Source organism: Homo sapiens, chromosome 14, assembly GCF_000001405.40.
Source record: "Homo sapiens chromosome 14, GRCh38.p14 Primary Assembly".
Taxonomy (NCBI): domain Eukaryota; kingdom Metazoa; phylum Chordata; class Mammalia; order Primates; family Hominidae; genus Homo; species Homo sapiens.
In genome coordinates this window covers 77,523,932-77,550,120 of record NC_000014.9, presented here as the reverse complement: position 1 = coordinate 77,550,120, position 26,189 = coordinate 77,523,932, and the positions used below count along the sequence as shown (strand labels likewise).

General features: G+C 41.0%; 1 protein-coding gene and 1 pseudogene across 2 annotated transcripts in view, besides 1 other annotated feature; both read left to right on the top strand.

Annotated features, from left to right (window-relative positions):
* SPTLC2 (serine palmitoyltransferase long chain base subunit 2) overlaps positions 1–26,189 on the top strand; it is a 110,641-nt gene that overhangs the window by 66,517 nt on the left and 17,935 nt on the right. Inside the window, exon 10 of one of the 2 annotated variants that reach the window (XM_011537384.3) lies at positions 14,116–14,521. The exons of the other annotated variant lie outside the window; for it this stretch is intronic. Within the exon in view, the coding sequence (XP_011535686.1) occupies positions 14,116–14,225 (110 nt within the window). The 3' untranslated portion in view covers positions 14,226–14,521. Of the gene's footprint in view, positions 1–14,115; positions 14,522–26,189 lie in introns of those variants that run through there. 2 annotated transcript variants of the gene reach the window in all.
* RN7SL587P (RNA, 7SL, cytoplasmic 587, pseudogene) lies at positions 2,263–2,555 on the top strand (annotated as a pseudogene).
* Positions 7,066–7,567: an enhancer, noted in NCBI's record as "H3K27ac hESC enhancer chr14:78008897-78009398 (GRCh37/hg19 assembly coordinates)". NCBI's record gives its function as "activates a minimal SCP1, AML or CMV promoter by ChIP-STARR-seq in primed H9 embryonic stem cells {active_cell/tissue: H9 hESC(primed)}" and the evidence as "EXISTENCE:reporter gene assay evidence [ECO:0000049][PMID:30033119]".

Sequence of the window (26,189 nt, the reverse complement as noted above, 5' to 3'; positions counted from 1 at the left end):
TGTGAATAGCTCCCTGTTAATAACAGCTATATCTCCTCTCCTTCTGATGTGGTGTTAGTGGAAACTGTGTGTGAATCTGAGAGACAGACATATATACACACATATATATACATACAGCTAGCATTTCTCTAGGTACTTCACATAGGCACACTTACCTTACTGATTCAGCACACAGGTTTAGGTGACTAAGAAATGGCTAAGAGCTATCAAAGTTAACATTGGATAATTTATTTGCCCTGTTCCAGAACATGGATCTGTGTGACACATTACCCCCAGATAAATGACTTATCTGTACTAAATGATGAAATCTGGGCTGTGCTAGTAGTGAGAAAATGAAACATGGTAATTATATATAGGCTTTGGATCAGCACAAGTTTTCTAGTTTTTGCCTCTAGCCACCCCCAAAGCTTAGTGATGTGACACAACAGCCATCTGATTATGCTCACAGATGCCACAGGTCAAGAATTCGGTCAGGGCACAGCAGGGATGACTTGTCTTTGCTCTGTTGTCTGGGGCTGGCCTGGAAGACTCAAGTGTCTGGAAAGACTGAGATGGTTGGTGGTTGGGATCATCTGGAAGCTTTTCCACTCACATGTCACCTGGGCTGGAGTGACTTGGAGCCAGGCTCAGCTGAGGCTGTTGACCAGAGCACCTTCATGCATGTATCTTTTCAATGTGGCTTAGGCTCCTCATGACATCGTGACTGTGTACCCAGAAAGGATGCTTCAGAGAGCAAGCATTCCAAAGAACCTGGCGGAAACCCCATGACCTTTTCTGACCTGTTGTTAACAAGCAGGTCACTAAGGCCATCCCGGATTGAAGGGGTGGGGAACTAGATTCCACCTCCCCAGTGGAGGCATGTCAAAGAATTTGTGGCTGGTTTTTTTTTTTTTGAGATGCAGTCTCAAGGAGAAGTACCATGCTTTTTTAAACAACCAGATCTTGGGAGAACTCAGAGCGAGAACTCACTCATTACCCAAGGATGGCAGCAAGCCATTCACGAGGATCCTCCCCATGATCCACACACCTCCCACCAGGCCCTACCTCCGTCATTGGGGATCACATTCCATCCTGAGATGGACAAACATCCAAACCATGTCAGTGAATATATTACATTTATCATTAAAACTTTGTTATTGTTGGATTCCAGAGTACATTAAGTACCTGGTATTGAAAGTAAGGCTTAAACATGTATATGTGGTTGCTTATTGTTAAATGTTTTCATCTTTTTGTGTGAAGAAATGTTGCTCTTTGGTGAGAGTACAGAGCCTTCAGAAAAGCTGCAGCATGTAAGGGAAGGTGAGATCCAGTTTCCACACGACTTTGTGAGCGCTCCTTTCCCCTTCCTCCCAACTTTTTCCGCATTTCCCCTCCAGTTTCTATCCTTTTCCCAAGGAAGAACAGGACATATGACTAGGTTGACAGATCTTGAAAGGCAACTTCACTAGGATCTCAGGTGAGATAATAATGAATGGGAATTGTGCTGCCAGGATGCCTGTACCTGGAGTGGGAATACTGAGCACAGGCCAGGGAGTAGAAAAAATGAGGCCTAGGAAATTCTGTTAAATTCCACTAGACATTTGAAATTCTAACTTTTACTTTACACATCACTAATCCGTGTCCACTAATGGAAATTTAGCTGTAGTATCTACATACGAATCAAGGCAAAGTGTTTGACCAAATCAACTAAAATTTTGCTTTTCCATTTTCCAGAGCTGTGCTTTGATGTATTTTATTTCTGTCCAAAGGTGTAGTTAATAATAACATGCATAGCACCCAGCTTAGTGTGTGACATCTAGGATCCTTTCAGTAAATTTATTGAATGACTGAATGAATGCACGCATGATTGGCAATACCAGAAAATCAGTGGGTTCTTCAAGTACTTTATTGTAACATTGCTTGAATAGTTGAATGTTAAGCCAGAATGACCAAATTATGGAACCAAATTAACTAGATAGGTACATTTTAATAGATACATTTTTAAATAATGTCAGAACGCTTTATAGAGTTTTGTACTTCTTTGTTTTGAAAGGAACTGGGTCCTTGCAGGCAGCTACTGATGTAGGAGAAAAAAGACTACCCTGAGCAGATTGAGGTTTAATTAAAACTAGGTTTGGCTCATTTGAATTAATTCCAGTAATAGACTTGTTAATTAGGTGTTAAATGATCACCTTGAGAATACCGGGGAACTGTCAAAAACTAAGAGAACTGAGACACTTAAAAAAAAAAAAAAAAAAAAAAAAAAAGACATTCCAGGACAATGCAGTGGCACATGCCTGGAGTCCCAGCTACTCAGGAGGCTGAGGCACGAGGATCGCTTGAGCCCAAGAGTCCTGGGCTGTAGCACACTGTGCCAGAGACGTGTCTGCACCAAGTTCAGCCATCAGTATGATGACCTCCCAGAAGTAGGGGACCACCAGGTTGCCTAAGGAGGGGTGAATTGGCCCAGGTTGGAAACGAACAGGTTAAAACTTCCCCTGCTGATCAGTAGTGGGATTACGCCTGTGAATAGCCACTGCACTCCAGCCTGGGCAACATAGCGAGACCTTGTCTCTTTAAAACAAAACAAAACAAAAAAACATTCCAAGATTCCCATGCAGAAGGGTTAGAAGTGTTGAAAAAACACAGCCTTGCTGGGAGGGGGTCATAAAGAGAGACTTTCCTGCCTGTCTTCAGGGCTGACAGCTTTTAACCCTCCCGTCAAGCACCATACTTCCTGAGCCCAAGAACGTTTGGGTGTTGACTTTCTTCTTTGTTGTGCTTTAAAGTAATTTATTTCACTATTAGAAATTCATCGAAATAAAAATTAAGTTTTCTGGTAAGCACAGTTTTGTTCTTACCCACAGTAGAGTTTAGCAGTTTATCTGATGCTGGGAATCAGACTCGCTTCCTCCTGTTTTGTGACTTTCTGCCTAGAATGCTGTTGTTTGGAAAAAAAAAAAAAAATACTTGTTTCCGCCGGGTGCGATGGCTCACACCTGTAATCCCAGCACTTTGGGAGGCCGAGGCAGGCGGATCACCTGAGGTCGGGAATTCAAGACCAGTCTGACCAACATGGAGAAACCCTGTCTCTAATAAAAATATGAAAATTAGCTGGGTGTGGTGGCGCATGCCTGTAATCCCAGCACTTTGGGAGGCCAAGGCAGGCGGATCACCTGAGGTCGGGAATTCAAGACTAGCCTGACCAACATGGAGAAGCCCTGTCTCTAATAAAAATACGAAAATTAGCTGGGCGTGGTGGCGCATGCCTGTAATCTCAGCTACTTGGGAGGCTGAGGCAGGAGAATTGCTTGAACACAGGAGGTTGCGGTGAGCTGAGATCGCGCCATTACACTCCAACCTGGGCAACAAGAGCGAAACTCCATCTCCAAAAAAAAAAAGTGTTTTACCATTTGTTAAACACTTATCAAGCAACAAGCAACTACTCTCTACATAGTGGTAGATATGCTGTGTGGGAGATGCAGAGTTGAACAATAGGTGATCTTTGCCTTTGAAAAAACAGTCCAGTGGTAGGGGTAAGATTCCCGGGAAGAACTAGTCTCAGAGGCACAGATAAATTCTTCCTTTGTTCAGCTTGTCTTTTCTCAATTTCCTCCTCCATTCTCTTCTACAACCTCCTCCTTCACTCACTCCCACTCCCCTAAAACCTTAAACTTCCTTAAACCAGCTAAGTTTTTGAAGCAAACTCATATTTTAGATTTCTTATATAATAACTTTCTATATAAATGAAATTTTTCTGTGGATACTGTCACTCTAGTAAATTATCAGCAATCAAAGCAGCTTCTTGATTATTTTTTAAAGCAGCTTCTTGATTATTGAGCACAAAAGGCCTTTTAACCAATGGCTTAAGCCTTCTGAAATCAGCAAGCAATATGACCACCTTACAGGTGGAGAAATTTGAGCTCATGTATGGAACAAGTTTTCTCAATATCTTGTCTCCAACTAGAATGTAGCTTTTCTAACTCCATCTGCTTCTACTTCTGAGGTTGCATGATGATAGTTAGCATTTTATTAAAACAGACTATTTTATAATCTGTTTCTAATTTTCTGCTAATTTTCCAAAGTTTAATTGTGAGTAATCAGCCCAACAAATGAAAGCTCTTTTGGGCATTTGCCTCCCTGTTTTCTCTCCATGGATCAGTAGCCCTTTCCCCACCTTTCTGCTTCAGAAATGGATTCTGAATACTCAAGAGCTTTTGCAACATGGTGTGTCTATTTTTTATTCCACTGCTATCTTTTTCTTCCAAATCCAAATGCTATTAAAAGTTTCTTGCAACAAGAACATTCTCTCCTTTTGTGCCTCGTTTCAGAGTTAGTTTGAAGCTAGCAATTAGGATGCCCAGTGTCTATTGTTTGTTGAAGAATAATTCTAACTTTCTAAACCTTCACATAATTGGAATTGCTTTTCTCCCCCCAGAATTATGTCTGAGGGCTTTATTTTTCATCAAATAGACTTGATCCTAGCTGTTCCCCAACTTTATAGCAGATACTTAATATGTATAAACCAGTGACCTGATAGATGGAATCTGCTCAAAGTAAGAACCTGATACCCGGCCGGGCACGATGGCTCACGCCTGTAATCCCAGCACTTTGGGAAGCTGAGGCGGGTGGATCACCTGAGGTCAGGAGTTTGAGACCAGCCTGACCAACATGGCGAAACCCTGTCTCTACTGAAATACAAAAAAATTTAGCCAGGCATGGTGGCGCATGCCTGCAATCCCAGCTACTTGGGAGGCTGATGGAGGAGAATGGCTTGAACCTGGGAGGTGGAGATTGCAGGGAGCCGAGATCACGCCATTGCACTGCAGCCTGGGAGACAAGAGTGAAACTCCCATCTCAAAAAAAAAAAAAGTGCCCGATACCCTACTAAGAGCTTGCCGGATTTGAAAGCTTTCCAAAAAGGAATTGATTTTTTTTTAATTGTCACCTATAGTTTTTCTAATTATCTAAATATTTTATTTGTATCTACCTCCCTGCTATCTACTTTGGCAGTAGAGTGAGGTGTTAAAGAAAAAATTATTCCTGTCACTTGTGAAACATGATAAGACAGACTTCCTTCAAGGGGGCCATGGTAATAAGCATAGGGATGACTGCAATGGGGTCTTCCAGTGGGGGAGAGAGGGTGGGCTGCAGTCTGACTCCAATAAGGACAGATGAGGATTTACAGCCAAGGAACAGGGTGGGAGTGAGTAGATAGAAAAATACTAAGAGGAAACATCAGGGGTAAGGGGGATGCTTGCCTTCAGCATTCTTGTTGAAGGTAGGCCAGGGTGATAAGATACCAGGGGTAGTCATGTAGGGGATTTTCTCTAATCTGACTTAGCAGGATTATTGCTCAAACTGGATTCTGCAAGAATGGAGAAGGAGGCGCAACGTCAGGACTTTATCAGAAAGGACTCCAAGAGGAGCCTGACTCAAGTTTGGTCAAAGGAGAGAGTCTTTGTCAGGTTCAGAATGACCTCATTAACATGAACTCTTTAAGCCCCTGTTCTCAGACTTTGTCCATGGACCACCTGCATCAGAGGTACTTTTAGTACAGTGGTTCATACCTTGCTTACACACAGGAAAGCTTAAAAAAATAGTGCCAGTGTTAGAGACCTTCTGTAGACCCATTGAGTATCTCAAGGCGAGGCCTCCCTGCCATGGCATGGTGTTATTTAAAAGCACCCCAGATGCTTCTCATGTAAGGCCCCATTTCAGAACCACTGCTGCTTGTTAAAAATGAAGATTCTAGTTTGTTCCACCCACCCTACTGAGTCTTGGTGGATGAGGCCCTAGAATATGCATTGAAAAGAAAACCTTAGGCTGGATATGGTAATCCTGACATTTTGGGATGTAATCGTAACATTTTGGGAGGCTGAAGCTGGAGGATCACTTGAGGTCAGGAGTTTGAGACCAGTCTGGGTGACATAGTGTGAGCCTCTGTCTCTACAAAAAATTCTAAAAATTAGCCAAGTGTGGTGGTACACGTCTGTAATCCTAGCTACTTGGGAGGCCAAGGCGGAGGATTGCACAAACCCAGCTATGATCACACCACTGCATTCCAGCTTGGATGAGAGAGGGAAACCCTATCTCTAGAAAATAAAAAAGAGGATTGTCTTTTTGACAATCCTCTTTTTTTCCTTTTAACTTTTTTACCTCAGTACCAAAGCAGCTCTACTGATTGATGGTAATTGAAAAAGGAAAAGAAACTGGAAGTCAAGATACAAATGAGGGAGATGTTTGGCTTGTAAGACAGGCATTTGCTGGCAGAGCTAAGTTGCCATTTTTGGTTGTTTCTGGAACTCTAAATGCCTGGGATGCTGACACTCCCTTCTGAACAGCTGATGATTCTGGCTGATTGAATCAGTGGCATAGGTGGAGAAGTTAGAAACCAGTTAGGTGCAGCAGGAAAACAGAACTAAGCATTCAGAGATCTGTGGTCATGGTTCCTAAGGCTAGTTGGAATTAATTATTTTTGTTTTACTTTTTTTGGGGGGGGCTGCTTGTATTTTTATAACCTATTAATCCTCAAATTACTTAGTACATAACCTACAAATGGCCTTGCCCACTATAAAGTTGTTAAAATGTTTAGTATTAACCGTTTTGTAAAACTCTGATTGTCTTATTGTATTGCCTTCTACCTCTAAAACTGTTAACTTAAATCCAAGCCAAGCCTTTACCAGAGATTACCTTTATTTGCTAGCTGTCTTCATCTGTGGGTAGATACATTACTACAGTGTTTACGTTCCTTATCTCTTTGTCTCAGAGTAGCCTGTGATATGTTCCAGCCCCAACAGAGGACAGTAGAATGGTCCATTAAGACTTTCTGAGGCCAAGGTGGGCGGATCACTCGAGATCAAGAGTTGGAGACCAGCCTGGCCAACATAGTAGTGAAACCGTGTCTCTACTAAAAATACAAAAATTAGCCGGGTGTGGTGGTGCACGCCTGTAGTCCCAGCTACTCAGGCGGCTGAGGCAGGAAAATCACTGGAACCCGGGAGGTGGAGGTTGCAGTGAGCTGAGATCGTGCCACTGCACTCCAGCTCAGGCAACAGAGTGAGACTTGGTCTCAAAAACAAACAAACAAAAGACTTTCTGTCCTGCCTGTGGGTTGGCACCCGTTAAAACTCAGTTCCTTGATTTTTCACAGGCACTTGGCCTCTTTTCTGCCTTTTGTGGAGGGCCCTCTGTTTCTGGCTGTGCATTAGCAACCATTCTTTTAAACTTCTGATTATATTGAATCAGCAACTTTAAGCTTGCCCCTGCTGCTTGTCATACATCCTGTGGCAGTCCTCAGGAAATCCTAGTTTTTGGCATTGAAATGAATTAAAGGATTAAGCCACAAGAGGGTGGGGGTGATAAACTGTGCTTTTAAGAGGAATTTACTGTGCAGTACTTGGTGTTAGCAAAAGCAGTTCTAGTTCTTACAGGGAGATAGGAAACCAAGGGGCTGCTTTAGAACAGCATCCCTAGGATATGAAGACGCAGATCTGTCTGCTTTGATGTTCTTTAGCTTGACAGTGGCCCCGGCTGAGCACTTTGATATTTGTCGCCAGTCTAGCAAAATAGGGGTTGTGTCTTGGAGATGGTAAACCTAGTTCCCGTTGCTTTGCTTCAGTGTTAGAAAATTACTGAACTCTTGCTTCCTGGAAGTCCCTTATAAATCTCCCTTTTACAAGACTGTTCTCTGGGGCACGAAAATGCCTTTGCTTATAAAGAGCCTGTTGAAGGTCCATTTATTTTCCTTTTCTTAACAGAAAGATTTTCCAGTGCCATTTAGTTAGGACTTACGGGAAACATGTTGTTAAAATCAATCTGTCCTGTTAGCTAATATTTCTTTTATTTTCATTTTGAGCTTTTAGATAAGATTCTTTATCTTTCTGTGAGATAATGTGAAAAAAAACACAAAAGAAATAAATTCAAATACCAGTATACTCTGGTTTTTAAAAATATCTTCACTGACTTTTTTTTTCTTTACATGCTCTACTCTCCCTCTCACCCTACTTCCTTCTTCACTTTTCACTTGGTACTTTCAGATATTCTTTGTGGGTTTTTCTTGGTTTTTTTTTTTTTTTCCGGACACAGAGTCTGTCTCACTCTGTTGCCCAGGCTGGAGTGCAGTGGCACAATCTTGGCTCACTGCAACCTCCGCTTCCCAGGTTCAAACCATTCTCATGCCTCAGCCTCCTGAGTAGCTGGGACTACAGGCGCGTGCCACTATGCCTGGCTACTCTTTGTATTTTTAGTAGAGACGGGGTTTCTCCATGTTGGCCAGGCTGGTGTGGAACTCCTGACCTCAGGTGATCCACCCGCCTTGGCCTCCCAAAGCACTGGGATTACAGTCTTGAGCCACTGCACCTGGCCTAGATATTCTTAGATATATTCATGATGCATCCCATCTAGATGCTTGTGATGAGTATATAATTTACTGATCTGGAAAGTGTGACAAGAGTTTAAAGTGTTATCTGCTGCCTTCTCCCCCCACTTTAGAGCTGTTCAAAGAAAGTGACCATTGATCATTTTAAAAGATGAGCAAAGGAAAGACTGCTTCTTTTTTAAAAAAGAAAATTTGATGACCTACTGTTAGAACACATTTCCACATGGACCCCCCGCTTCTAAATGGGTGTATATCCAGATCATCCAGTCTGTGTGCACAGAGTCCTTGCATTTCTAAGTTCAAAATAGTAATTTAAATGAAAGTAGGCCATCATAAGGCATTGCTAGGAAGAGGTTACTCTTGATAGATGAATGTGCTGCTTTTGGTAAGAATTAGTTTGTTATTTATATTTAAATTTTGTAGGCCGGGCCTGGTGGCTTAAACCTGTAATCCTACCATTTTGGGAGGCCAAGACGGGTGGATCACTTGAGCCCAGGAGTTCAAGACCAGCTTGGGCAACATGGTGAAACCCTGTCTCTACAAAAAAATAAAATAAAATACAAAAATTACCCAGGCATGGTGGCTTATGCCTATAGTCCCAGCTACTTGAGGTGCTGAGACAGGAGGATCACTTGAGCCTGGCAGGCGGAGATTGCAGTGAGCTGAGATCACACCACTCCAGCCTGGGTGACAGAGTGAGTCCCTGACTCAAAATAAATAAATAAATAAATAAATAAATAAATAAAATGTTTTGCAAGCATACCTTCTGAGTACAGTTACACTTTGCCTTATTCTTAGATTTTACATGTTACACATATTTTTGGTTCTGTGAACAGATTATATATGGCATATTTGTAGTTCTAAACTACTTCTGCAACTAAACATGCATTATATCACTCATTTCCCCTCAGTGGAACTGGTATATATGGACTTATGCCATAATTAAATGTTAGCAATGAGAGAGATCTACCTTTAAAATAATAAAATGTGCTGGGTGCGGTGGCTCACGCCTGTAATCCCAGCACTTTGGGAGTCTAAGGTGGGTGATCGCTTGAGGTCAGGAGTTCGAGACCAGCCTGGACAACATAGCGAAACCCCATCTCTACTAAAAATACAAAAATTAGCCAGGTGTGGTGGCGGCCGTCTGTAGTCCCAGCTACTCGGGAGGCTGAGGCAAGAGAATCACTTGAACCCAGGAAGCAGAGGTTGCAGTAAGCCAAGATCACACCACTGCACTCCAGCCTGGGCAACTGAGCAAGACTCCGTCTCAAAAAATTTAAAAAATTAAAAAATAAAAGTAAAAATAAATAAAATGCATTTCAAAATCAAATGGAGACCATTTCTTGATGATCTGGGCTGCTGTGCCTTCCTCTTCCTGCATATGCACAGCTAATTGAGAATGTGGTGTTAAATTTATTAGCAGATAAGAACTCTGTCCATTACATTTTTTTTGTATGTTTCAGGCCTTTTAAGGCATATTATTCCTTTATTGCTGTCTGATCTTCAAAACATATCCAGAGGACCTTCTTATTACTTTTTTTTTTTTTTTTTTTTTTGAGACAAGAGTTTCGCTCTTGTTGCCCATGCTGGCAGGCTGGAGTACAATGGCACAACCTCTGCTTACCGCAACCTCCGCCTCCCAGGTTCGAGCGATTCTCCTGCCTCAGCTTCCCGAGTAGCTGGGATTATAGGCATGTGTCACCACACCTGGCTCATTTTGTATTTTTAGTAGAGACAGGGTTTCTTCATGTTGGTCAGGCTGGTCTAGAACTCCCGACCCCAGGTGATCTGCCTGCCTCGGCCTCCCAAAGTGCTGGGATTATAGGCATGAGCCACCTTGCCTGGCTTAATTGTGTTTTTTTATTAGTTCAAGCCACAATAAGAAGTTTATTCAGTCAGCAATCTGTTTTTGACTACTTAACCACGTGCCAGCTACAAAAAAATAACATATAGCTTCAAAAGCCTCTTAAGCGGCTGGGCACAGTGGCTCACGCCTGTAATGCCAGCACTTTGGAAGGCCAAGACTGGCAGATCACTTGAGGTTAGGAGTTTGAGACCAGCCTGGCCAACATGACAAAACCCCATCTCTATTAAAAATATAAAAATTAGCCAGACTTGGTGGCAGGCACCTGTAATCCCAGCTACTTGAGAGGCTGTGGCAGGAGGATCACTTGAGCCCAGGAGCCAGAGGTTGCAATGAACCGAGATCACACCACTGTACTCCAGGCTGGGCGACACAACGAGACCCCATCTCCAAAAAAAAAAAAAAAAAAAAAAAGCCTCTTAAGATAAAATTTTCATTTTTTTGAATTCTCAGAATAAACAACAGTTTCTTAGTGTTAGATTACAATTATTTCTTAATACCACTTAGATCCTTCTTTTTTTAATTAATTTTTTCTCTTTTTGGTGTCTGAGTGGGCCTTAGAGTTAGAAAATAACTGTCTCCTGTTGGCTTGCCTTTTCTCTTTTTCCTCAAGGTCTTTAATATCTCCCTAGAAGATAAAAAGGATATATGCCCATTTGTTTCTGTTTTTTCCCAATTTGATGATAGAAGAATAGGCCTTAAAATATTATAGGTCTTGTTATAGGTAAAATAACAAAAATAGAAAATAATATAAATGATCTTACATATGTAAATATAAAATAAGTTTTTAAAGACCGTTTGTTTAAGCATTTCATTAAGTGCTTTAATGGAGTATCCCATTTTCTTAAAACAGCCTTATCTAGTAGGTAGTTATCATCATCATCATCATCCCCATTGCCATTCCCATTTTGCAGATGAAGAAACCAAACTCAGAGGTTAAGTGACTTGGCTGTAGCCATACAGCTACTAGATGCTCAAGCCAGGATACAAACGTAGATAGTCTGACTTCAGAAGTTTATATACCACAGGCTGGGGATAGTGGCTCATGCCTGCAATCCCAGCACTTTGGGAGGCTGAGGCAGGTGGATCACCTGAGGTCAGGAGTTTGAGACCAGCCTGAGCAACATGGCGAAACCCCATCTCTACTAAAAATACAAAAATTAGCCAGATGTGGTGACGCATGCCTGTAATCCCAGCTACTTGGGAGGCTGAGGCACAAGAATAGTTTGAACCCGGGAGGCAGAGGTAGCATTGAGCCAAGATCAAGCCACTGCACTCCAGCCTGGGCAACAGAGCAAGACTCTGTCTCAAAAAAAAAGTTTATATAGAACCAAATTAAAACTACTAATAAGTGAAATTCAGGAAGATGGTGAAATTATTAGTTCTCTCTTTCTTTCTGAGACCTGCATTACTGCTTTGATGTATGACATCCAAAATGACTGTCTTATTATTTCAAGTTTAAAATGTCCTCCATGCAAGCATATCTCTGTGCCTATTCTAGATTATTAGATGTGAGAATAAAATTAGCTCAGGTAGAGACAGGATCCCATCCCCATTATGATGGGGTGTGCATGAGTGGTAGTTTTCAGAAAAGGACGGTGTCTGCTTGCCATCTTGAACACTCAGATTTGCAAAGGTAATTTGCCTCACCTGGATGATAATTACTGGGTGATGTGATGGTAGAGGTACTCTAAATTGGAGAATAAAGGAAAACCTCAAAAGCTTTGGAAAGTTCATAGCATCGTAGAGGGTAAAATATATGAAGCTTGTTTATAAACTATAAATCAGAGCATTAGAGAATGAAGTGATTATATGTTAGTAAAATCAGCTGTGTCCTTGTGTTATGTGTTAAAATTAATAAGAGTGTGCACAGGAAATAGAAAATGGAGAATTGGAAACAACAAGGGAAGTAAGATAGTCGTTCATTTCATTTTTCAAAGTTAAGGCTAAGCCGAAGGGTCGGAACATGTTGTATGGAAGATAGGAACAGCATGATTTTAAGAGAAGAATACATGAACAAGTGAAATAACAGTGGCCGTTTATTGTCTGCTTACCATGTAGTTAGCACTGTTCTAACTGCTTTTCATTAAATTCTCAGAACAAGTATTAAATGTTAGACATTATTTTCCCTCTTTTACAAAAGGGGGAAGCTGAGAGGTTAAGGAAACAAAGAGGTTAAGTTGCTTACCCAAGGACACATAGTTACTAGTGTTGGAGCCAGTTTGAACTCATGGATCCAGTTCCAGAATGCTTTTTGTGTACTAGATATTTATTAATGTATTAGATGATTGTTTGCCTTAATGTAATTGACTATATAGGTAATTTTGCTTTGTAATTTAAATTAGTTCGAATACATAACGTGTTTTCATTTTCCCAGCGTATTTCAACTTGGCTTATCTGCTCAGTGTTCTTGGGGGAGTTACTAGGGAAAAAAATATAACAGTATTTGTCCTCAGAGTTTGCAGTTTGTTCTGGCAACACGAGACCACACATAAACGGCATAAGTACAGTAACAGGAACTTATAAACAAGAGCAAATTAATGAATTACAAAGTAGAGACATGTCTTAAAATGTGCCATAGGGAATCTTTCCATAACTTTTTTTTTTTTTTAACTTCTGCCCTTTATCTTTCATAGTGTTCTTTGGTTTCTTTGGGGTTTTTAAAGATAAGAAGTACATAGGCCAGGTGCAGTGGCTCACGTCTGTAATCCTAGCACTTTGTGAGGCAGAGGCGGGTAGATCACGAGGTCAGGAGTTCATCAGCCTTGCCAAGATGGTGAAACCCCATCTCTACTAAAATTCCAAAAATTAGCTGGGTGTGGTGGCAGGTGCCTGTAGTCCCAGCTATTCAGGAGGCTGAGGCAGGAGAATTGCTTGAACCTGGGAGGCGGAGGTTGCAGTAAGCCAAGATTGCACCATTGCACTCCAGTCTGGGCAACAGAGCGAGACTTCATCTCAAAAAAAGAAGTGGGGGGGTGGGGGAATACATAGACATTGGTAGAAAATAACAAAAACAAAATTAAAATTTACAAATTGCTTGTATTTACTGATTTGCATGATTTTCACCTAAACTGCAGAAAATTGTCCATAGGAGTTTTTACTAGTAGTATTTTATCTTTACCACTGATCTAATGGTAGAAAAAGAAATAGAGCTCTAAGAGAGGTTTTTTTTTCTTCTTTTTAAAAGTTATCACTTGTCTTTTGTTTACATAGAAAAGTGTGGCTTTGGAATAAATTATATTACTTGACCCACCTCCCACAAAAGTTTTGCTTAAACTCGGCCTATAGGCTGGAAGGACTAGGATGAAAAGGGGTATTGCTAATGGATACTGGTTTCTTTTTGAGTGATGAAAATATTCTAACATTTATTGTCATAAGAGGTGCAGAACTCTATACTAAAAAACATTTAACTGTGTGCTTTAAATGGGTGAATTTTATGGCACGTGATATATATCTCAATAAAGCTGTTTAAAAAATCACCTGGTGACGTGAATCCATTGGTCAAAAATAAAATAAAGAGAAAAAAAAAACCAAAAAATACCTGACCTACAGTGAGCAAACAGTGTCACCTATAATAAATTTAAAACTTTTTTATTGTGGTAAATATATATAACAAAATTAATCATTTTTCGGTACAATTCAGTGGCATTACATACATCCAGTGCTGTGCAACCATCACCACTATCCATTTATAGAACCTTTTCATCATCTCAGAAAATAATTTTTAATATTCTAGTTCAAGTTTGGAAGCAGTAGTCTTGACCTACTGCATTTCAAAATCTAGGCTCTAGAAATACTTGCTCCACCAAAATTGAGTTGTGTCTCCACAGTTTTTAGCCTTTTTGCTGGTTTCCCCTCAAACCAACTTTTTCTTTTGTGTTTCCTATCTCAGGTAATGGCATCACTATTCATGAAGTTGTCCAAACAAGAAATACCTATCATCGTTTCTCTCCTTTATCCCCTGTATTTAGTCACCAGTGCCTATGGATCATGCTTCCTTAATATCTTTGAACCTGTCTACTTCTCCATATCTCATTGTTATTTACTTGACTTAGATTTCTGTCCACTTTCACCTGGTTTTAATAGCCAGCCAGTCATAATAGTAGAGGAATCAGTCAAGCAAAAATGCTTTGGAAGAATTAAATAAGCAATGCTGAACATCAGGAATTGTAGATATCCGTACAGAGAGTTCCAGTAAAATTTTATGAGTCCACGACCCCTTTTCTAAGCAGTCTGGTCCATGTTGGTCTCATACCTCATATGCAGGATTCATTCATTCATTAAATATTTGTTTCATACCTTGTTTGTAACACTTCTGTCTGCCTTCTAAATGTATCCTCAGTCCACTTTCTACCACTTGCTACTGTGTTCATCCAAGTCACCATCTTCCCTCCTGTGGTGTCTCTGCTTCCCTCTTTGCATCTATTCTAAATATAGATAGCTCTCAGTGTGATCCTGATGGGAGATCATATCTATCTTCTGTTTAAGAACCCTCCCCAAAGGCCTTCTCATCCCGCCTAAAGTCAGTGAAGACCTGTGGGCCCTTGGGATCTATCTGTCTGTTGACTTCCTCTATCCCACTCTTCCCCTCACTCGCTGTTCCATATTTCTTGCATATGCTGGGTGTGCTTTTTGCTCCGGGTCTTGGCAGTTTATAGAAATAGCACTTGGGGCTGGGTGTGGTGGCTCACAGCTGTAATCCTAGCACTTTGGAAGGCCGAGGCGGGCAGATCACCTAAGATTGGGAGTTCGAGACCAGCCTGACCAACATGGAGAAACCCTGTCTCTACTGAAAATACAAGATTAGCCAGGTGTGGTGGCGCATGCCTGTAATCCCAGCTACTCGGGAGGCTGAGGCAGGAGAATCGCTTGAACCCGGGAGGCGGAGGGTTGCAGTGAGCCAAGATGGCGCCATTGCACTCCGCCTGGGCAACAAGAGCGAAACTCCATCTCAAAAAAAAAAAGAAATAGCACTTGGCTGCATCAGGTCTTTCCTGAAACACTTCTTTAGTGAGTATTAATTTTGTTTGTTGTCCATCTCCCACACTGGAATGTAAGCTGCATAAAGGCAGGAGTTTTGTCTGTTTCATTTGCTGCAGAATGTCCAGGGTCTAGAGCAATATCTGGTGCATCATGAGTGCTCAGCATATGTTTTTTTAATGACATCTGCTTCCCTAGTGCACAATATGTTCTCCCCTTTTTGTGTAGTCTTCTTTTTGCCTTTGGTGAAATCAATTTTTTTTTATTTTGCCTTTGGTGAAATCAATTTCTATTTCTTCTATGTTTAGCATATGTGTGTGTGTGTGTGTACTGAAATATGTGAAATGTTTATTATTTAATTTTATATACCAGATTTCTGTGTTAAAAATTTTTTATATCATAAAGTTAGACTGCCCTGAGGCTTCAGAAATGTTAGTAGCCTCCTAATTTGACTTCTTTAGTGTTTAAGTTTCTTTCAGAAATCCTGAAACATATCCACAACCGCTGTATGTATACAGTTTCTTTTAACACTTATTTGGTGAATTTATCAATATGAATTTGTCATGTTTCTCAAAATGAGCACTTTTAAAAAATTGGTAATATTGAATTTGATGAAACCTATTATTTATATGGAGTAAATAATATGAAGTGGAACAAATTTACATGTTCCCTTTGAGACTTTTTATAGATATGCATTTGTGTGTGTGTGTGTGTGTGTGTGTGTGTGTGTGTGTGTGTGAGAGAGAGAGAGAAAGAGAGAGAGACAGGGTCTCATTCTGTTGTCCAGGCTGTAGTGCGGCGGCATGCTCTCAGCTCACTGCAACCTCTACCACCCAGGCTCAAGCAGTCCTCCCACCTCAGCCTCCCAAGTAGTTGGGACCACAGGCGTGCGTCACCACACCTGGTAATTTTTGTATTTTTTGTAAAGACGGGGTTTTGCCATGTTGCCCAGGCTGGTCTTGAACTCCTGAGCTCAAGGGATCCTCCCGCCTCGGCCTCCCAAGAGTGCTGGGATTACAGGCATGAGCCACTGCGCCCAGCCCATATTTATTCTAAAAGAAAGAAGTAGAGGTTATAACAGGAATTCAAAATTCAGTTGGCACCAGCAAACCCCAGAGACTTAGGAATATTTTTTGTTACTTTTGCTATCGAATCTAAACGTTCATTTGCCCAACCTACTTCCCCTTTCTTGAAAGAAGTAAAAATTACTTTTGGAAATTTCCTGAATAAATGGAGTCAGGAATCCCAGCAGTTCTTACTGTTAAAGGACGTGCTTGCACACGTAAAGAAGGGTCTGTTTACCTAAGGTTTATTTAGCTCTGGAACATCGTAAGCCCTGGTACAAGTCCAGCCTTCCCGAAACTAACTGCTTGCGTGTACACTCCCTGCTCAGCTTCGCCCCTTTTAAAATGAAGTCAAAACATTCTAATTTGGTAAAGGTGTTAGGTCCTGAGAAATTATTACTTTGTCAATATTACCGTATTTGCTTTTCAGAATTTCAGATTCCAGTCATCCTAGAGAGCATATTATTTCTACAAAAACTGTTTTAGGAGGACTTTGTTATACATTGCTATTATACTCACCCAGAGACAGTTACTTTTTTTTTTTTTTTTTTTTGCAACGGAGTTTCGCTCTTGTCACCCATGCTAGAGTGCAATGGCACAGTCTTGGCTCACTGCAACCTCTGCCTCCTGGGTTCAAGCAATTCTTCTGACTCAGCCTCCCAAGTAGCTGGAACTCCAGGCGTGCACCACCACGCCCAGCTAATTTTTGTATTTTTTTAGTAGAGACAGGGTTTCACCATGTTGGTCAAGCTGGTCTCAAACTCCGAACCGCAGGTGATCTGCCCACCTTGGCCTCCCAAAGTGCTGGGATTACAGGCGTGAGCCACTGTGCCCAGCTGACATTTAAATTTTTTAATCTGAAACTGACCTTTTCTGTTAACATGAAGCATTTGTTCATGCTTTGCTACTATGGTGGTGTCATTTTAACTTTTTCTTTGCTGAATAATTTTGTACTCCATTGTATCCTCATAATTTCAATTGTAGTGTCCCATAGCCCTCCAAAAAAAGCAGTCAGAATCAGATTTTTTATTTTATTTATTTATTTATTTTTATTTTTATTTTTATTTTTTGAGACAGAGTCTTGCTCTGTTGCCCAGGCTGGAGTGCAGTGGCACTATCTCGGCTCACTGCAAGCTCCGCCTCCTGGGTTCACACCATTCTCCTGCCTCAGCCTCCCGAGTAGCTGGGACTACAGGCGCCTGCCACCACACCCAGCTAATTTTTTGTATTTTTAGCAGAGATGGGCTTTCACTGTGTTAGCCAGGATGGTCTCCATCTCCTGACCTCGTGATCCACCTGCCTCGGCCTCCCAAAGTGCTGGGTTTACAGGTGTGAGCCACCGCGCCCAGCCCAGAATCAGATTTTTATATTAAGTTACTAATTTTTTGTGCCAGCCGTCCATCAGCCTCCCCATCTTGGCAGGGTATGCAGAAGAAAAACCTAATAGTAAAATATCTAGGGAAAATGTCTTCATGAGAATTAAAGCAAATGCACAGATAAAAAACGAATATTTTTATTACCAGGATTTTCTATTCTGTGTATTCATTCACGTGAGCATTTAAAGAGAGAAAGGGAAAGAAGGGAAGGCCAGCTTTCATTTCTTGCCTCAGGACATTTAAGTTTGAAGTGCTGTTTTCCTAACACTTACCCCATCTTACAATACAAATTCCCGGAATATGCAGCACCAAAAATTTCAGTATTTTTCCAGATTTGTCTTAAAACCAAAGGTTAAGAGGAGAGTTCCTGAGCCCACACCTGTAATATTTAGATGGTTCTGTTTTGTTGTTGTTGTTGTTTTTAAGTAAAAGGGGTATTATTAAATAATAGTTGGCTGTATTTAAAATCATCAATAGAGAGATGAGAAATTTAACCTCAATTCCATTTTTGTTTAACTTTGGGTGATTTTCCAAGTATTTTAAATTTTATTTTTATTCTTATTGAAGTATTGACATTCATACAATGAAGTGTACAGATCTTAGACATACAGTTTTCATAAATATACTCATCTAATCACCACCCAGATTGCAGTATAAAACATTCCAGGCTGGGTGCAGTGGCTCACGCCTGTAATCCCAGCACTTTGGGAGGCCAAGGCCAGCAGATCACCTGAGGTTGGGAGTTCAAGACCAGCCTGACCAACATGGAGAAACCCTGTCTCTACTAAAAATACAAAATTAGCCGGGCATGGTGGCACTTGCCTTAATCCCAGCTACTCAGGAGGCTGAGGGAGGAGAATCGTTTAAACCTGGGAGGTGGAGGTTGCGGTGGACCGAGATTGTGCCATTGCACTCCAGCCTGGGCAACAAAAGCAAAACTCCATCACAAAAAAGAAGAAGAAGAAGAAGAGGAGGAGGAGGAGGAGGAGGAGGAGGGGGAGGGGGAGGAGGAGGAGGAGGAGGAGAAGGAGGAGAAGAAGAAGAAGAAGAAGAAGAAAGTCATGGTCCCTGTGAAGAAATAACTTTCAGGGCTTATGGTAGAGAACAGTCAACCAGGAAGAGTACCATCTTCCTGAGAAGCATATGGAATAGTCTAGAGGTATTTTTGGTCACAGACTAGGTTGCTGTGGCACTGTTGGCATGCACAGCCCAGAGGCCAGTGATGCTCAATGTTGTGCAAGGCACTAAACAGCCTAAACAATGAAGAACTGTTTTGCCCAAAATGCCAACAACAATCTTACTGAGAAACTCTGGAAATGGTTGACTGAAATTTTGCAGGGTGCCCTCTTTGGAAGATGCAGGATGGCAGAAATCCTAGATTAAAATGGGAAAGGAGAATGCAGGATGGAAGGAAATCTGTGGGCACCACCTCTTTCCCTGGGATTCTGCATGATGTAGTAGACTGAAGGAGAAGCAGTGTGATGTGGCGGAGGCGGTGTTAGGGAAGAATTCACAGTAGGTAGATGAGTCTCAACAGGGTGGGCCAACGTGCATTGTTGATTATTTGTAATGCAACAAAGTTACTCACTTATTCCTCTTCTAAATTCCTACGTTAAATACTTAACATTCCCTTTTAGTCAATCCTAGCAATACAGGAGCTAGAATACATCATTGAGTCATTCAAAGTCCAGTCTTTGAAACCAGAAGAACCAGGGAGTCAAGTCTTGGTTTCTCTATTTTAAGATATGTAACCTCACTGGGCATCAGTTTAGTTTCTTAGCTGTAACATAACTCTTAAATATGCCTTGCTTCTAAAAGGGAGAGGTGGGAAAGCCTACTAAGTCTGTTCTTCCTCTCAGAAGTTACTTATATGGTGTATTGAAAGATCTTGTGGTTTAGGCCTGGTGGATCACTTGAGGTCAGGAGTTTGAGACGAGCCTGGCCAACGTGGTGAAACCCTGTCTCTACTAAAAATACAAAAATTAGCTAAGTCTGGTGGCGGGCACCTGTAATCCCAGCTACTCAGGAGGCTGAGGCACGAGAATCGCTTGAACCTAGGAGGTGGAGGTTGTAGTGAGCTGAGATCGTGCCGCTGCACTCCAGCCTGGGCAACAGAGCAAGACTCCATCTCAAAATAAATAAATAAATATTTTTTTTTTTTAAAAAAGATCCTGTGGTTTAAATGTTGAGCATGATGGAAATTTGAAATGTTTTTAACCCAGGTTTGCTTATCTTTTTTTGAAAGCATTACCTGATTTCATCTGAGATTTTCTACTATGCACACTATTTGGAGTTCTTGGAAATGATGTAATAACAATAGTCACTCCTATCTCCTCCTCCACATAAGTCCAAGATACCTTCAGCTGAGATGAGATTAAGCTGTTGTTCTAACATGTGGAGTTAGCTGTAGCACCATAAATGCAAGAGAATTCTTAATTTAAATTAATATAAATCAACATATTCTTTCATTTGTTTATGATAGACTATAAAGTACTGTCTTATCAGGAGATAAGGCAGGCTAGCAGTTGACTTGGTAATATTTAGAGATGTAGTAACCAAAGCAAAATGTAATATTCCCCTGCTTAGAAATTGCTTTACTGGGCCAGGCAGGTGGATCACATTAGCCCAGGAGTTTGAGACCAGCCTGGCCAACATGGTGAAGTCCCATCTCTACTGAAAATACAAAAATGAGCCAGGCATGGTGGCGCACATCTGTAATCCCAGCTACTTGGGAGGCTGAGGCACGAGAATCTCTTGAATCCAGGAGGTGGAGGTTGCAGTAGGCCAAGATTGCACCACTGCACTCCAGCCTGGGCGACAGAATGACTCTGTCTCAAAAAAAAAAAAAAAAAAAAAAGAAAGAAAGAAATTGCTTTCCTAGAAAAAGTGAAAAAAAGCAAACATTAATTGGGCCTAGCACTGTGCTATTTTCTTTACTCACTTTGCTTAAAGGGAGTCAGTACTGAGAGCTTCCATAATTACTTTGGTAATAGCCTTTGAAAACGTAGTTTGCTTTGACTTATCTGATGTTATAAACACTTGTGTAAGAGGTCTTTAAGATATAAGTTCCAGTTTTAGATTTCAATAGAGACACACAACGCAGGCAAAGTAAACATCAAGGGTATGTAAGTTTATTTCTATCAGTGGAGAACATACTTTGTCATGTCCTGGTTTAAACTGTCCTAGAAAAGGCATATTTGTTAAAAAAAAAAAAAAAAAAAAAAGAAGAAGTTTTCAAAGAGAAACTTCACAGGAATGAAATGTGTTCTTTCTCTCTCTATAGTATAATCCAACCAAAGTAAAATATGAGAAAAGGTGTACTTCCAAATAATAAAAATAAGGCTGGGCACAGTGACTCACGCCTGTAATCCCAGCATTTTGGGAGGCTGAGGTGGGTGGATCACTTGAGGTCAGACGTTCAAGACCAGCCTGGCCAACATGGTGAAACCCTGTCTCTACTAAAAATACAAAAAAATTAACCAGGCATGGTGGCGGGCGCCTGTAAGCTCAGCTACTCAGAAGGCTGAGGCAGGAGAATCTCTTGAACCTGGGAGGCAGAGGTTGCAACGAGCCAAGATTGCACCATTGCATACCAGCCTGGGCGACAAGAGTGAGACTCTGTCTCAAAAAACAAACAAAAAATAACAAAAATAAGACCTTTGAAACAGATGATTAAAGTAAAAGATTGACAGTTAGCTTCAATTCTTATAAAAAATTGTTAAATGAAAGAGATATGAAATAACCACAATTTGCTATTATAGTATATATTAGAGCTAGATGATGGGTAGTATTTTTCCATATTTTATCCTGCTTTATGTCAATTAATTCCTAGTTAATGCTGAAAACTAACTGAAACCATTCTTGGAGCTATCTATTTGAGGGACCCTGAGCTGATATAGAAAACTTTTACCTGCTTTGAGAATATAACCTTTAAGAAGAAAAGGGGGGGCTGGGCGCAGTGCCTCATGCCTGTAATCCCAGCACTTTGGGAGGCCGAGGCGGGCAGATCCCCTGAGGTCAGGAGTTCGAGACCAGCCTGATCAACATGGAGAAACCCCGTCTCTACTAAAAATACGAAATTAGCCAGGCATGGTGGCACATGCCTGTAATCCCAGCTACTCGGGAGGCTGAGTCAGGAGAATTGCCTGAACCCGGGAGGCGGAGGTTGCTATGAGCCGAGATCGCGCCATTGCACTCCTGCCTGGGCAACAAGAGTGAAACTCCATCTCAAAAAAAAAAGAAGAGGAAAAGAGGGGTGGGGAAGTTCTTCAATTTCAAATTCTTTCAGTGCACTGTAATTAATTGGAAAGTATAAGTTGGAGGAGTAGCAGTAATTTTATTTTATTTTCCCCAGGAAGACAGATTATATATCAGCATATTCAGGAAATCTAAGAAGATTAGGAGCTGTGTAATGAAGTATAATATGAGTTAGGAGATCAACTCTGGCTGAACATCCTTAATATTTGTGTCCTTTATTTTGAAAGATTTCAGTTAACAACAGAAATGTTATTTTTGAAGCTGCAGGCTCAAACATGTTTTTGTTGGTTATGGTATAAGTTGTATAAAAGCTCATCAGCTAAACTGGAAATCATATTACTACTGAAGCAGCTGAGTGCATGCTCTATTCTTTGAAGTATAATGCTAAATAGTACTAGTTTAAGACAAAAATGTCTGCTGCCTTTATATTCCTTACTTTATTACATGGATCTTTTCCTGGCTTTCAAAAAAACAAAAAAAAAAGCAGTCTTGAGCGTTCAGAAAATTTATAGAACACTGTCTGTTCTAAGTCACACCTATCTAGGAGGGCTTATGGAGTTTATTTCAGTAATAATATAGTAGTTCCTTCTAACCTTAAGATTACATGCATGGCTGAGAATCTTGAGAAATTTGGATTAAGACTTGATAAAATATTCCTTTTAAAAATGACTGAAAAGCAATTGGTACACCTTAAATCTGTTTGGCAGTGATTAATGTAGTTCCCTAAATCTAATTCTGTTTTGTAAACGTGATTGAAGGTTATCAATATCTAGTGGTTATCAGTAGGTAGATAATTGTGGCGCTCCTTCAACCTCTACCCTCCATCCTTTTCAAGGCCTTCTAGTTCCTTAAGAGAACTAAATCTAGGCCTGGTGCGATGGATCAGTTGAGGGTCAGGAGTTTTAGACCAGCCTGGCCAACAAAGTGAAGCCCTGTCTCTACTAAAAATACAAAAAATTAGCCAGGCATGGTGGCACTTGCCTGTAATCCCAGCTACTCAGGAAGCTGAGGCAGGAGAATCGCTTGAGCCTGAGAGGCAGAGATTGCAGTGAGCTGAGATCGCACCACTGCACTGCAGCCTGGGCAACAGAGTGACACTCCATCTCAATTAAAAAAAAAAAAAAAGAGGCCGGGCGCAGTGGCTCACGCCTGTAATCCCAGCACTTTGGGAGGCCGAGGCAGGTGGATCATGAGGTCAGGAGATCGACATCATCCTGCCTAACATGGTGAAACCCCATCTCTACTAAAAATACAAAAAATTAGCCGGGTGTTGTGGCGGGTTGCTGCAGTCCCAGCTACTCGGGAGTCTGAGGCAGGAGAATGGCGTGAACCCAGGAGGCGGAGCTTGCAGTGAGCCAGGAGCACGCCACTGCACTCCAGCCTGGGCAACAGAGTGAGACTCTGTCTCAAAAAAAAAAAAAGAACTAAATAATCTAATGATGCTGTTACAGCATATTGATCTTTTATATCTATTCCTTCCTTCCTGAGAATAAGATTTATTGTAAAGAGGTTGAAGACTAAAAATGACCTGTTAAAGTTATCTACATTTTCCAAGAAATTAACTACATATTTACTTTTCTCTGTCTCTTCCATGCCAAGCTGTAGATTTTTTTACAGTAGAGTTCCTAAAAATAGTTTTATTCTAACAAACCATATTGAAGTCCAAAAGGACAGCCACACAGTTAAGTTTATTTGTAAAATTCAAGAGTCAGTACAGATTTTTCTCCTCCAAATTGCTTTTATGCTTTTTATCACCCTTAAAAGTAAAGATTTATGTTTGAAAAGTAGGAAAGAATTCTGACCTCTTTATATTTCCATCTGTGTTCTTTCGGAGCCAAAGATAAAAACTTCTTAAGAGCAGTATTTTTTTAAACAGTGCTAAACTTTCTTCTTTGTTTCAAGTCTGTATTAGACCAGATACTTGCTGAAACTCTGCAGTGAAAAATCCTTGGGACTGAGCTACTACACTGGCGTTAAATAGCAATTGGTCTTCTTGCATAAATATTAACTGCTATTTTATATGATACTCAAGTCAAAGTGGGTAACTATGTTGTCTGTTAAGATTCAGTTTCACTTTAAGAGCAAAGGATAACTATTTTCTAACGTGTAAATGCCAGGGCTTACTGATTTGTCTACATTTATTTTACTGCTTTTATTTTCCTGTTATTCTCTTTGAAATTAGTAAGTTAAACCATAAGAAATTTCCTGCTTTAAGGTCAAAAATGGTAGCATGTTGGCAGTTTGATGGTTCAGCCTAGCAATTTTAAAGGATAACAGGCCACTTTATTTTTATATATTTATTTATTTATTTGAGATGGAGTCTCTGTCACCCAGGCTGGAGTGCAATGGCATAATCTCGGCTCACTGCAAGCTCCGCCTCCTGGGTTCATGCCATTCTCTCGCCTCAGCCTCCCAGGTAGCTGGGACTACAGGCGCCCACCACCACGCCCGGCTAATTTTGTTTTTGCATTTTTAGTAGAGACGGGGTTTCACCGTGTTAGCCAGGATGGTCTCGATCTCCTGACCTTGTGATCCGCCCGCTTCAGCCTCCCAAAGTGCTGGGATTACAGGCGTGAGCCACCATGCCCAGCCCTCCTTTTTAAATTTTTTTAATTTTTCTTTTTTTTTTTCGAGACGGAGTTTCACTCTTATTGCCCAGGGCAGAGTGCAATGGCGCAGTCTCGCTCACGGCAACCTCTACCTCCCAGGTTCAAGCAATTCTCCTGCCTCAGCCTCCTGAGTAGCTGGGATTACAGGCATGCACCACCACACCTGGCTAATTTTGTATTTTTGGTAGAGATGGGATTTCTCCATTTGGTCAGGCTACTCTCAAACTCCCAACCTCAGGTGGTCCGCCTGTCTGGGCCTCCCAAAGTGCTGGGATTACAGGCGTGAGCCACCGTGCCTGGCTCATTTTTCGTAAGTGACAGAGTCTCACACTATGTTACCCAGGCTGGAGTGCAGTGGCTGTTTACAGGTGCAGTCATAGCTCACTACAGCCCCAAACTCCTGACTCAAGAGATCCTCCTGCCTCAGCCCCCCAAGTAGCCAGAATCACACCACTGTGCCTGGCTTTCCTTTTTTTAAAAATTGATACATAATATTTATGGGGTACATATGATATTTTGATAGATGCATACGGTATCAAATATTCTGATCAAATCAGAGTATTTTGGATATGTGTCACCGCAAACATTATCATTTCTGTGTGTTTAGAACATTTCAGCTCTTCTAGCTATTTTGAAATACACGGTAAACTATTGTTAACTGTAGTCATCCTGTGCTATCAAAAGCTATAATTTATTCCTCCTATCTAACTATATGTTTGTACCCATTAACCAACCTCTCTTCAATCCCCCTTTCCCTACCATTCCCAGCCTCTGGTAACCACTGTTCTACTCTCTACCTCCATGAGATCAACTTTTTTAGCTCCCACATGAGTCAGAACATGCGATACGTGTCTTTCCGTGCCTGGCTCATTTCACTTAACATCATGACCTTCAGTCCCATCCATCTTGTGCAAATGACAGCATTTCATTCTTTTCATGGCTGGATAGTATTCCGTTGTGTGCATCTGCCACATTTTCTTTATCCATTCATCCGCTGATACTTAGAATGATTCCGTATTTGGCTCTTGTGAATAGTGCTGTAGTAAACATAGCTGTGCACACATCCCTTTGATACACTGATTTCCTTTTATTTGGATAAACAGCAGTAGTGGGATTGCTGGATTGTATGGTAGTTCCATTTTTAGTTTGAAAAAACTTTTTTTTTTTTTTTTAACAGAGGCTAGTTAATTTGTGATTAGATAGCTAAAAGGTTTGTGATTTTTTTTTAAAGGTGGTGGCTGGGCAGCATGGTGGCTCACTCCTGTAATCCCATGCCACAATCAAGGTTAGAATATTTTCATCGTCCCTCCTGGAAGTTCCCTTCTGCCCCTTTGCTATCAGCCGCCTTCCCATACTTTCTGGCAACCATGAATCTGTTTTCTGTCATTACAGTATGTCTTTTTAGAGTTTCATACAAACGAATTCATACAGTGTGCAGTCTCATGTCTGGCTTATTTCAATGAACATTATATTTTGAGATTCATCAGCATTGTTGCCTTAGCAATCATTTGTTCCTTTTCATATATTTCCTTTCTCTCCTCATGTTTCTTCTACCTTTTTGAACATATAGATCATATTTATAATGGCCTTTAACATCCATATCTGCTAATACTCCGTTATTTTTGGTCGGTTTTTATTGACTGACTTTTCCCCTGGTTGTACGTCATATTTTCCTGTTTC